At 41.2% G+C, this 13,850-nt stretch overlaps 1 protein-coding gene across 12 annotated transcripts in view; it reads left to right on the top strand.

Annotated features, from left to right (window-relative positions):
* ZNF292 (zinc finger protein 292) overlaps positions 1-13,850 on the top strand; it is a 110,379-nt gene that overhangs the window by 81,563 nt on the left and 14,966 nt on the right. For 11 of the 12 annotated variants that reach the window (XM_047418459.1, NM_001351444.2, NM_015021.3 and 8 more), the window contains 2 exons: positions 6,348-6,484; positions 8,376-8,517. In XM_047418459.1, the coding sequence (XP_047274415.1) occupies positions 6,348-6,484; positions 8,376-8,517 (279 nt within the window). The remainder of the gene's footprint in view (positions 1-6,347; positions 6,485-8,375; positions 8,518-13,850) is intronic. The other variant, XM_047418460.1, reaches the window with a different exon arrangement.

Below are 13,850 nucleotides of genomic sequence, written 5' to 3' on the forward strand. Positions count from 1 at the left end.
GTTAATTTTGATTAACTCTTGATTTTATATTTTCTTAGTTATGACAGGTTTAACATTTATTTTCTATATGGAAAGCAATATTATTTTGATAAGCAAATCAATTTTTTAAACTGTTTGTTTGTTTGTTTTTTTGGAGACAGAGTAAGCTTGCTCTGTTGCCCAGGCTGGAGTGCAGTGGTGTGATCTCAGCTCATGGTACCTCTGCCTCCGGGGTTCAATTAATTTTGCCTCAGCCTCCCAAGTAGCTGGGACTACAGGTGCACGCCGCCATGCCTGGCTAATTTTTTGTATTTTAGTTGAGACAGGGTTTCACTGTGTTGCTCAGGCTGGTCTCAAGCTCCTGAGCTCAGACAATCCTCCTGTCTTGGCCTCCCAAAGTGCTAGGATTACACACGTGAGCCACCGCACCCAACTGAAACTGTTTTTGAAATGTGATTACAGCCAATACTTTTTAAAAGTATACTTCGTAAATTCATATAAAATATTGATAGTGTTCTATATTTTTTGAATAGTTGGCATAAAGAGCCATTTTAAAACATACAAATTATTATTTACATCTTTGAAATAATTGTTATGCTTTACAAAGGGACTTTATTCAGCATAATGTGTCTTTAGCAAACAGATCATTCTAATTGGTTTTAAATATTTTATTAAGAGTTCTAAATTTTCTGGTATTTAAATTTTTGCTCATTTGTCAGAGCAATAGAGAATAGTCCCTATATAGGTAATATACTGGTAATCTCTGAATTTTGCTTCTTTGGATTTTTAAATCTTGTTCATTGGTGGCTATGTTTCACTTTTCATGATTTTAATTAGTAATTTACTACTTTGTATATGACTTCCTTATTCCTGCATTCTATTTAATGTCATATTTTTTCAAGACAGCCATCTAGTGGCAAATAAGAGAAATGAAGGATCCCAAGTACACCATGAAAATTGTTTCATTAGTATGCCTATGAGAAATGAAGTTTGCTGTGTTACTGAATGTAGCAGATGTTTCAGTTGGTATGTTGCATGTATATGAAAAAATACACATAGGCAATCACAAATTTATATTTTTAAATATTAAGAGTAAGCTGGGCGGGTGCAGTGGCTCACACCTTAATTCCAGCACTTTGGGACACCAAAGTGGGTGTATCACCTGAGGTCAGGAGTTTGAGACCAGCCTGGGCAACATGGTGAAACCCCGTCTCTACGAAAATATAAAAATTAGCCAGTCGTGGTGGCACTAGCCTGTAATCCCAGCTACTCAGGAGGCTGAGGCATGAGAATCGCTTCATCCTGGGAGGTGGAGGTTGCGGTGAGTCGAGATCGCACCATTGCACTCCAGCCTGGGTGATTGAGCGAGTCTCCATCTCAAAAAAAAAAAAAAAGTAAGCTAATGATAGTAATAACATTGGGGAAGTAAATTTCTTGCCTTATACATAATAGATAAATTTGGTACCATATGAGCACTCAGCAAGAGTGCCTTAGGTTTTATTTTTTTGGTTTTTTTTTTTCAGTAAGTATTTATTTTTTTTATTTTTTTATTTTTTTATTTCTTTTTGGTTTTGATTTATATATTTTTTTTTTAATTGATCATTCTTGGGTGTTTCTCGCAGAGGGGCATTTGGCAGGGTCATAGGACAATAGTGGAGGGAAGGTCAGCAGATAAACAAGTGAACAAAGGTCTCTGGTTTTCCTAGGCAGAGGACCCTGGGGCCTTCCGCAGTGTTTGTGTCCCTGGATACTTGAGATTAGGGAGTGGTGATGACTCTTAACGAGCATGCTGCCTTCAAGCATCTGTTTAACAAAGCACATCTTGCACCGCCCTTAATCCATTTAACCCTGAGTGGACACAGCACATGTTTCAGAGAGCACCAGGTTGGGGGTAAGGTCATAGATCAACAGCATCCCAAGGCAGAAGAATTTTTCTTAGTACGGAACAAAATAGAGTCTCCTATGTCTACTTCTTTCTACACAGACACAGCAACAATCTGATTTCTCTATCTTTTCCCCACATTTCCCCCTTTTCTATTCGACAAAACCGCCATCGTCATCATGGCCCGTTCTCAATGAGCTGTTGGGTACACCTCCCAGACGGGGTGGCGGCCGGGCAGAGGGGCTCCTCAATTCCCAGAAGGGGCGGCCGGGCAAAGGCACCCCTCACCTCCCGGACGGGGCGCCAGCTGGGCAGAGGCGCCCCCCCACCTCCTGGACGGGGCGGCTGGCCAGGCGGGGGCTGCCCCCCACCTCCCTCCCTGACGGGGCGGCTGGCGGGCCGGGGGCTGGCCCCCACCTCCCTCCCAGACGGGGTGGCTGGCCGGGCGGGGGCTGCCCCCCACCTACCTCCCGGATGGGGCGGCTGGCCGGGCGGGGGCTGCCCCCCACCTCCCTCCCTGATGGGGCGGCTGGCCGGGCGGGGGCTGCCCCCCACCTCCCGGACAGGGCGGCTGCCGGGCGGAGACGCTCCTCACTTCCCAGACGGGGCGGCTGCTGGACGGAGGGGCTCCTCACTTCTCAGACGGGGCGGCTGCCGGGCGGAGGGGCTCCTCACTTCTCAGACGGGGCGGCTGCCGGGCGGAGGGGCTCCTCACCTCCCAGACGGGGTCGCGGCTGGGCAGAGGCGCTCCTCACATCCCAGATGGGGCGGTGGGGCAGAGGCGCTCCCCACATCTCAGACAATGGGCAGCCGAGCAGAGACGCTCCTCACTTCCTAGACGGGATGGCGGCCGGGAAGAGGCGCTCCTCACTTCCCAGACTGGGCAGCCGGGCAGAGAGGCTCCTCACATCCCAGACGATGGGTGGCCAGGCAGAGACGCTCCTCACTTCCCAGACGGGGTGGCGGCCGGGCAGAGGCTGCAGTCTCAGCACTTTGGGAGGCCAAGGCAGGCGGCTGGGAGGTGGAGGTTGTAGCGAGCCGAGATCAGACCACTGCACTCCAGCCTGGGCAACATTGAGCACTGAGTGAACGAGACTCCATCTGCAATCCCGGCACCTCGGGAGGCCAAGGCTGGCAGATCACTCGCGGTTAGGAGCTGGAGACCAGCCCGGCCAACACAGCGAAACCCCGTCTCCACCAAAAAAATATGAAAACCAGTCAGGCGTGGCGGCATGCGCCTGCAATCTCAGGCACTCAGCAGGCTGAGGCAGGAGAATCAGGCAGGGAGGTTGCAGTGAGCAGAGATGGTGGCAGTACAGTCCAGCTTCAGCTCGGCATCAGAGGGAGACCGTGGAAAGAGAGGGAGAGGGAGACCCGTGGCGGTGGGTGGGGGAGGGGGAGGGGGTTTTATTTTTTATTTGATTCTGTTTTTTAATTTTTTATTTTTTCTTCAGACAGAGTTTTGCTCTTGTTGCCCAGCCTGGAGTGCAGTGGCACCATCTCAGCTCGCTGCAACCTCCACCTCCCAGGTTCAAGCAATTCTCCTGCCTCAGCTTCCAAGTAGCTGGGATTACAGGCACCTGCTACCATGCCTGGCTAATTTTGTATTTTTAGTAGAGACAGGGTTTCACTATGTTGGTCAGGCTGGTCTCGAACTCCTGACCTCACGTGATCCACCCCATTGGCTTCCCAAAGTGCTGGAATTTCAGGCGTGAGCCACCGGGCCCAGCCTAAGAGTGGCTTAGGTTTTAGAAGAACAACAAAAATGATAAGATTAAAAATAAATGAGACTTTCAAGAAATACGGATTTTTATTAAACCCGAACAAGTAAAAATCTGTATTTAGCAGCATATGAATATATGGCCTTAGTATTCCTGTGCAGGTGGAATTCTGGAAAGATCACAGACTATGAAGCTAAACTTAGGTTGACATCTTGACTTTGCCACTAAGTGCATAACTTTGAGCAAAGAACTTAACGCTTAGGCCTTCTTTCTTTAAAAGAAGTATTAGCATTGGCTGAGCACCGTGGCTCATGCCTGTAATCCCAGCACTTTGGGAGGCCGAGGCAGGTGGATCACGAGGTCAGGAGATCGAGACCATCCTGGTTAACACAGTGAAACCCCATCTCTACTAAAAATACAAAACATTAGCTGGGCGTGGTGGCACGCACCTGTAGTCTCAGCTACTCAGGAGGCTAAGGCAGGAGAGTCGCTTGAACCTGGGAGGCGGAGGTTGCAGTGAGCTGAGATGGCACCACTGTGCCCCAGCCTGAGCAACAGAGCAAGACTCCGTCTCATAAATAAATAAATAAATAAATATATAAAATAAAGTGGTGGCATCTACCAGGCAGCATTGCATGAGTGTCACAGGGTAATTGTTTAACGTAATTTTGAATAAAATATATTGTGATGAAGTGGAAAGAGCTTGGATTTTTTTTTTTTTTTTTTTTTTGAGACCGAGTGCTGCTGTGTCACCCAGGCTGGAATGCAGTGGTGCGATTTTGTCTCACTGCTGCCACCTCCCAGATGTAAGCGGTTTTCCCACCTCAACCTCCCCAGTAGCTGGAACTACAGGCATGCATCACCATGTCCAGCTAGTTTTTGTATGTTTTAGTAGAGATGGGATTTCACCATGTTGGCCAGGCTGGTCTCAAACTCCTGACCTCAGGTGATCCACCCACCTTGGCCTTCCAAAGTGTTTGGATTACAGGCGTGAGCCACCGTGTCCGGCCAGAGCTTGGATCTTTAATGTCAGCCAGACATGATTGGATTTGTGGCTTAACCACTTAACTAGCACATTCATACAGGTGGTCCCCCAATTTATGATCGTTCAGCTTACTATTTTTCAGCTCTACAACGGTGCGAAAGTGGTACACATTCAGTAAGTTTCTGGACGTATGAGGGGGTTACATCTAGATAAACTTACTTTGAATTGAAAATACTTTAAGTCAAAAATGCACTTTCAACTTAACATTATTTTCAACTTAGGATGGGCGTGTTGGGATGTAGCCCCATCATAAGTCGCAGACCATCTGTATATAAAATGTTAGTGATAATACCTACCTAGTGGGAAAGTTACGATTAATAATATATATAAAATGTCTGACAGTGTGTTTAACATATTGTAGATATTTTTAAATCTTTACTTTATAAATATATATCCTTCGGTCTTTTTTTATTTGCTTAAATCAAGTTGCTTATAAAGATTTGTTGAAAAAGAGGCAGAGAGAGGAGTAGTGGGAACAACACTGTACCAGGTAGCATAAGACTAGATTTCAGTCTTAACTCTTCCACTAACTTCATAATTCCTGTGGGTAATCATTTATGTTGAACACACGATTTTTTTTTCTTGTCTTAGTGTTTTCTAAGAAGGCCCAATTTAATGTGTAAAATAGAACCTGTGAACCTATTGCCCCACAGCGTTTATCCTTATTATCAAAGATTGACCTCAGGATTACCCGCATTCTCCATTTACATGCTTGTTGAATCCTAAACACATTACATTTTACACATGCACATTTTGCTTACTCAATATTTTATGAAAGAGAGAAAATCAACTAGGAGAGGCATAGTCTCTGTGGTACGTGAGTGCTAATGGTCTGTTTTGTCTTCAGTTCTTTTTGCCATCTGTCAGTTGTACCATATTGGAATTAATCTTTCTATTCTGTGGAACACTGGTAATTTGTGATTGTATGCTGTTTGTCAGATCCCTTGTCTTATAGCAGATGCTTGTAGCAATCACAGGTAAAGTCTGTTCGTTTTATATAGTACATCATTGTAATGAGGTAATAAATTTTAATTTTTTTAAAAAGAAATCATAGATGTAAGTGCATCATTAAATGAAGCAAGTTGCCTTCATCTAGGTTATACGTACACATGCATGACTGTTGGCAAGCTTTGAGATGGAGTAAATTTATATGAAAAGAAAAATAGTGGAGATTTATAGAAAATTGAGGTGAGCTTATTTTAAAAGTGGTACAGTTACATAAAATGCTTCATACTATATTTTTCCCTCATGAATAGATACGTAGTTTATTAGTCTATACCCAGTGTACCTCTCTGTGTGTCTCTGTTGATTCTAATGCTTGTTTAAATCAGTGGATAAAAGGGGAAAAAATAAAAGTACTGCATTTTTTTTTCATGATCAGATCTGATTTAATGGGTAGAGATTGCTTATAGTTATCATCAGTTAGTTACATATAAATGCTTGTAAATTCTTAAATAGTTGGTTCTCCGGTGTTTCTTAATTTTCTCAGAATTACTATATAAATTTCTACTGGCTATAAAGAAAGGTTTTTTTTTTTTTTTTTAACTGCAGCCAGTCTTTGTCCCAGTAATGACAAATTATAACTGACTTGATAGTGTATGAATTAATGGCATTTTATTCATAAAAACTATCTAAATATTTAATGAAAACTAAAGGTATATTGCTCTATATTCTAATATAAAACCATTTTGTGGCATATTTCTATTGGCTTTTTCTTTAGATTTCAGAAGTTGATTGCAAAGATGCACTGGAAATGATCTGTAACTTAGAATCTGAGGGTGATGAAAAAAGCGCTCTTGTTTTATGTACTGCGTTTTTGTCACGTCAGCTCCAACAAGGAGATATGTACTGCGCTTGGTGAGTTGATCTTTTTTTTTTTAAAGAAATATTTGTTAAATAAGAATGCAAAATAGGCTGTGAGAATTCATATAACTTAGGAACATAATTTAAAATCTTTTTAAGACAAAAGGCTTATATTTAGATATTACATGCTGTGCAAACTTATTATCGAGTAGTTGTTACAACTCAAAACTTTGTGTATTAAAGGCCACACAATTCCTTAGCATGCATACCAGGAATTATCTTTGGTCAGGAAATTTTTAAGTGTTAGAAAGTGAAAGAAAGACTTGTTTTGTCTAATGCCACCATAACATTTTTTTAGATATGTAAGCAATACATTTCTTTTTATGGTACATTTTCAGTTGGGCATAGCTTGTTATATGTAATCCTTTGGGAGGCTACAGGAAACAGAGATCTTGGTTTCAGTTAATGTAAAAACTGAAGATCAGCTGCCTTAAATTAGCTTAGCTAACACTGACAATTTATCTGGTCAGTCAACAGCACTATTAGTCTTCAGTGTTGTGTTGATATTATGGGAACACATAAGAAAATTTGATTTATAAAATTCCAACATTTAAGAATATTTACCAAATGACAGCATACAAATGAATAATAGAACAGCCAAGGTAAATCAATGGTTGTGTAATCAATAAAGATTGAAGCTTATAAAGGATTTCTGAGCATTGAGCCTCGTTATGAAGGAAAAATAGTATATGCAATACAGAGAGGCTTGGTGTGAAAGGCAGAAAGATTCTGAAGGGAGAATAAATAAGAAGTATTTATCCAGGACAAGTGTAATAGGTTTTCTAGTTATACCAGCATGAAAATCAGTGATGACTAAGAAATTAATGTGTTTTGTTGGTTTTTACAAAGGCATCAAAAGCTGAGTTTCATATGCTAAGCAAAAGCAGTCCATTATAAGCTCTTGAAGGGCAACATAGAAGTTTATGTTTAAGAAACACTGTTGAAGATAAGCAGTTGTGAGTTGATTGATGACTCAGTAGTGAGGGCAGAGTTGGGCAAAGAAGTAGTAGTACAGAGTTCAGACAGAAAATCACCTGGAAAGCCAGTAAATCAACTGGGAAATTACTGTGGCACAGATTGGTTTCTTCTGGGTTTTTTGTCATCATTGGTTCTTATATTCATCTAATAATAATAACCTTATTGTCAATTTTAAATTTGTTAGAAGATAAAAGAGAAATGCTGTTTAAAAATCATGTCATTGATTTTTTTTATATATATATTATATATACACATGCACACACATATATACGTACACACACATATCTTGAGCTTTCTTATTACATAAAGTTCACATGTGGCTCAAAGTCATCATCTGTAAAACTTGTTTAAATGTTAAATGCTGGCCGGGCACAGTGGCTCATGCCTGTAATCCCAGCACTGTGGGTGGCCGAGGTGGGCGGATCACCTGAGGTCAGGAGTTTGAGACCAGCCTGGCCAACATGGTGAAACCCCATCTCTACTAAAAATACAAAAATTAACCAGGCATGGCAGTGCGCGCCTGTAATCCCAGCTACTCAGGAGGCTGAGGCAGAAGAATCGCTTGAACCCGGGAGGCAAGGTTGCAGTGAGCCGAGATTGCGTCACTGCACTTCAGCCTGGGTGACAGTGAGACTGTCTCAGAAAAAAAAAAATGTTAGATGCTTTCCTAGTAGAAGGTAGTGCTTCTCTGGGACTGAAAAATATTAATTAATAAAATGATAAATCATATTCTGATTTTATTTGGTATTTAGAAAATTGGGATCTGTTTTCTTGCATTTTAACTTAAGCATGCATATAGGATTGGAATATAAAACCAGTTTTAATTTCAAATGTAATGACTGGACTGATGTCCATGATTATTACCTTACTGCTCCAACTTTTCTTATTATAACTTTTTTTTTTTAAGGGAACTTACTCTCTTTTGGAGTAAATTACAACAAAGAGTAGAACCATCTATACAAGTGTACCTTGAGAGGTGTCGTCAACTTTCTTTGTTAACGAAAACAGTATATCACATTTTCTTCCTGATTAAAGTTATTAATTCAGAGGTAAGAATAATCAGAATATTTTTAAGGTTAAAATGTGTACATTATCATTAATAAAAGACTATAACTTTTATGATTTTGGCTCCCTTTTCAGTGATTTTTAAATTTTTTCAGTTAGTCCTTTGAACATTTTCTTGTTAGTCCTTTAAGATATTTGATACAGAAAAACTTAAAAATGCAGTTGAGAACCAGGGACTTGTTCTTAGCCAGAAGAAAAGTAATATGTAATACTTAAATTATATCATTCTTCTGTTTTGGTTCTAGGGGTTATACTACTTTGATAATTTGGCTATAGAAATTTAAAAAGTAGGCTGGGCGTGGTGGCTCATGCCTGTAATCCCAGCACTTTGGGAGGCCAAGGCAGGCAGATCACAAGGTCAGGAGTTCGAGACCAACCTGGCCAATATAGTGAAACCCTGTCTCTACTAAAAATACAAAAATTAGCCAGGTGTGGTGGCGTGCACCTGTAATCCCAGCTACTCAGGAGGCTGAGGCAGTAGAATTGCTTGAACCTGGGAGGCGGAGATTGCAGTGAGCTGAGATCGTGCCTCTGCACTCGAGCCTGGGCAACAGAGCGAGACTCCATCTCAAACAAACAAACAAACGAACAAAAAAAGAAATTTTAAAAGTATAAAGAAAAATATATAGTGCTAGGTTCCTCTGCTAGCAGAAGGGAAGATTACATTATCTGAAATTTTACAAACAGCCACAAATACGTGATAAAATAAAACAAACATCTTTTTTTAGTGTATAGCAGCTGAGATTGCAGGAATATTTGGGCTCAAAAGGTAAAACCTAAAAACGGGAACAGAAAGCTTGAACTGATGCTGAGTCTCACCTAACCTGGAGATTGGGATATGTTGCTTCTTGCAGTGACTAAGTAGTTGGAAGTTTGATATCTACACAGGGACAGGAGATAGCTATACAGATATAAGATCCTGGGCCAGGCCAGGCTGCTCACATCCATAGTCCCAGTACTTTGGGAGGCCAAGGTGGGCGGATGACTTGAGGTCAGAAGTTTGAGATCAGCCTGGCCAACATGATGAAACCCCATCTCTACTAAAGTAAGTACAAAAGTTAGCCAGAATTGATGGCGCCTGCCTGTAGTCCCTGCTGAGGTGGGAGGATGGCTTGAACCTCAGAGGCAGCGATTACAGTGAGCCGAGATTGCACCACTGCGCTCCAGCCTGGGTGACAAGCAAGATCCTGTCTCAAAAACAAAAAGCAGGCCGGACGGACATGGTGGCTCACGCCTGTAATCCCAGCATTTTGGGAGGCCAAGGCGGGTGGATCACATAAGCCCAGAAGTTCAAGACCAGCCTGGCCAACATGGCAAAACCATGCTCTACTAAAAATAAAGAAAATTAGCTGTTCATGGTGGCAGGTGCCTGTAGTCCCAGCTACTCTGGAAGCTGAGACACAGGAATCGCTTGAGCCCAGGAGGTGGAGGTTACAGTGAGCTGGAGGTTACAGTGAGCCAAGGTTATACCACTGCACTCCAGCCTGGGAAACAGAGTGAGACTTGGTCTTAAAAAAAAAAAAAAAAGATCTTGGGCCAGCTCTTCTTGTCTACTTGGGTAGGTAGATCTGAAACAACCACCCCCTCACCACCGCCCCCTGCCACCCGCAACACACACACATGCGCACGCACGTGCATGCATGCATGCATGCACAATCACTACATGAAGCTGGAACCTGTGAAGTACTTTAATTTTATTGAAAAGGTAGACTAGAAAAATAATACTGTCTAACACATATGGATGGTAGGGAATTTTAGGTATGTCCAACTGGACTCTGGGTCAGAGGAGGAAAATCTTTAGGAAGTTATAACTACAAGTCTACCCTCATACAGATTTGGGAGCCACATTTACCCTAGCTGTGTAGTTCAGAAATCCGTATGCCAAGTAAGTTAATGTTTAAGAAGGTGAGGATGAATACCTAAGATTCCTGCAGAAGAAAATGCAGAACTGCTTTAGGAGGGACATATTGTCAACACAGGCGTCTCATAAAGCCCTGCTTTAACATGAGTTCACCATTAAGATTTATAAACATACAAAACTATCTGACCTGAGTGATTTTCAGCAAAGGAATAATAGGATTACTTGCCTAATACTTTAAATAATATAATTATGGAAAAATCTAGGAAGTATATGTATTTAAACACTTAAAATTTAGGAATTAAAGTATGAGAAAGTATCAAAATGACCAAGCAGATCGTAAAAAGAGTCAAAAGAACGTTTGGAAATAAACATACATAGTTATCGAAATGAAAATTTTAGCAGATGGATTATACAGATTAGACACAACTGAAGAGGGAGTTAATGAACAGAGGTTGTATATGTGCTTCCACTTATTTTTTACTATTAAGTATTAATAAATCAGAACTCAAGTTTCATAAAGTTACTGATTTTCTTATAGTAACCTTTGTAGAAATGCAGTTGATTTCCATTTAAATGTACATAGGAAACACCTTCCAAAGGTGCTACCATTGTGTAGAATCTAAAAACTGAGATGCAGCATGATAACAAGAAGTATTTTTAAGTGAATTTTTTATTTGTTTTTTATTTGTATTTTGTAATTGTTTTTGAAAGGAAAGACCAAAAGATACTTCCCTATCCCTCTTTATAAGTACCTTTTAAAATCTGTCATTGGTCAGTAAGTCTTAGATGTATCTTCATTTTTCTCTTCTAAAAATAATTTCATTTTCAGGAGGAAAGAATATGAATGAATCCTGCTTTCCAGTTTTTCCTCTGTCAACCTTGTTAACTTGTCCTGATTTTTCATTTATATATTGTGGTGCTGCAGTTAAAAAATAAAGTAGCTGGGCATGGGAGTGCACGCCTGAGTCCCAGGCTAGTTGGGAAGCTGAGGCTAGAGGATCACTTGAGCCCCAGATTTCAAGACCAGCCTGGGCAACACAGCAAGACCCTGTCTCCAAAACAAAACAAACAAAAACCTGAAAGGGGCCAATAATAAATTTCCTATGAAACTACTATGCAGTTTTAAATCATAGGTTGTGCCACTAACTTAAAGAGCAGCATGACAGAGTAGAGTAGAAAGAACTTGGAACTAGAAGCCAAACTGGCTATAAATCTTGACTTGCAATTGACCTTAATCACCATAGGTTTCATTATTAAATCAGATGAATGGAGGAGGTTAGGTAAAAGTGACCATCCTTCTTCAGTCTTACTCACCACTCATAAAGAGACCATGGTGGGCCAGAGGATGGGGTGCAAAATACTGGACAAGAGCTGCATTGTCCATTATGGTAGTCACATTTTAGTTGCTGAGTAGCTCCATGTTGCTAGTGGCAATCCTACTGGACAGCACAGATATAGAACATTCCTGTTATCACTAATAGTTCTGTTGGGTAACACTATTCCAGAGAGTTTGGGTTCAGAATTAGAGTATATAAAAAAGCAGTTAAAAGTATGAATAGCTTTGGAAGTTGGCCATGGCAGCAGCCTTCTTCTCTGTTGTTGCTTTTGTTGGTTCATTGGTTTTTGAGAGAGTCTTCCTCTGTCATCCAGACTGGAGTGCAGTGCTGCAATCACAGCTCACTGCAGCTTCAACTTCCCAGGCTTGAGCAATGCTGTCACCTCAGCCCCCTAAGTAGCTGGGACTACAGGTGTGTACCATCACACTTGGCTAATTTTTTTATTTTTTGTAGAGATGGGGTCTCACTATATTGCCCAGATTTATCTCCAACTCCTGGGCTCAAGTAATTCTCCGTGCCTTGGCCTTCCAAAGTGGTGGGATTACAGGTATGAGCCACCACACATGACCTTCGCAGCAGCCTTCTTGACAGGGATAGTATGCACCATGGTAATTGCTCTGTCCAAAAACCTTGCTTCTTGTTGCATGAAATGTTTTTCCCTTTTTTTTTCTACTTTCTGAAATCTGATCAAGCAGAGGTTTTATCTTAAAACTAGAATCATAGATTATTATTATTTTAGGACTGAAGAGACCTTAAAGTTAAGCTATAGTGATTAGATTCTGGTGTAATAACTCTCTTCATTTTCCATATAGAGAGGTTAACCTCGATGTAGTGATTTGAATTAACTGGTAACCTTTTTTTTTCTTTTTGTTATGGAGTCTCCCTCTGTTGCCCAGGCTGCAGTGCAGTAGTGCAATCTCGGCTCACTACAACCTCCATCTCTTAGGTACAAGCGATTCTCGTGCCTCAGCCTCTTGAGTAGCCAGGATTACAGGCGGACGCCACCATGCCCAGCTAATTTTTGTATTTTTAGTAGAGACAGGGTTTTACTATGTTTGCCAGGCTGGTCTCGAACTCCTGACCTCAGATGATCTGCCCACCTCAGCCTCCCAAAGTGCTAGGATTATAGGCGTGAGCCACTGTACCCAGCCAACTGGTAACCCTTAAAAAAAAAAAAACAAAAAAAAAAACTCCAGGAATTGAAGACTATCAACCAGCTACTCATATGTTAATTTAAAATACAGTTGGCCCTCCATATTCATAGGTTCCACATCAGTGGATTCAACCACCTACTGATTGAAAATATTCAGGGGCCAGGTGTGATGGCTCACCTGTAATCCCAGCACCTTGGAAGGCTTAAACCCAGGAGTTTGAGCCAGCCTGGGTAAAACAGTGAAACCTGATCTCTACCAAAAAAAAAAAAATAAGCCAAACATGGTGTGTGCCTGTAATCCCAGCTACTCAGGAGGCTGAGATGGGAGGATCACTTGAGCCTGGGAGGCAGAAATTGCAGTGAGCCAAGATCATGCCACTGAGCCAGGTTCACTCCACTGCACTTCAGCCTGGGTGACAAAGTGAGACCCTGTCTCAAAAAAGAAAAGGAAAAAAAAATTCTATAGAGTTCCAAAAAGCAAAACTTGAGTTTGCCACAAGTGTACTGTATTGAATCTATGCAAATGAAGTAATATGTAGCCATTGTATTAGGTATTATAAGTAATACAGAGATGAATTAAATTATGTGAGAAGATGTCCATAGTTTGTATGCAAATACTATGCCATTTTATATAAGGGACTTGAGCATTGTGGATTTTGGTATCCACAGGAATCCTGGAACCAATGCCCCCAGATTCTAAAGGACAACTGTAATTAATGTCTTAAATCCTAATTGAGATCTGCAAAGGAATTGGAGCAGATGGCTTGGGATCTTTTTATTTATATAGTATACTCTTCACTAGACTCCTTGAGGTTTAAGAGTTGAAAAATACATCCCTGCCTTTAAGGATTTTGTAGTCTGTTGATGGAAACTCAAAACCAGTAGCAATATTATATGGGTCTTTCTACTAGAGTGGAATCTTGAATATCCAGTGAGGGTACATTGCTTAGTGCAGTGCCTGGTATA

The sequence above is a fragment of the Homo sapiens genome, chromosome 6 (assembly GCF_000001405.40).
Source record: "Homo sapiens chromosome 6, GRCh38.p14 Primary Assembly".
NCBI classification, from domain to species: Eukaryota; Metazoa; Chordata; class Mammalia; order Primates; family Hominidae; genus Homo; species Homo sapiens.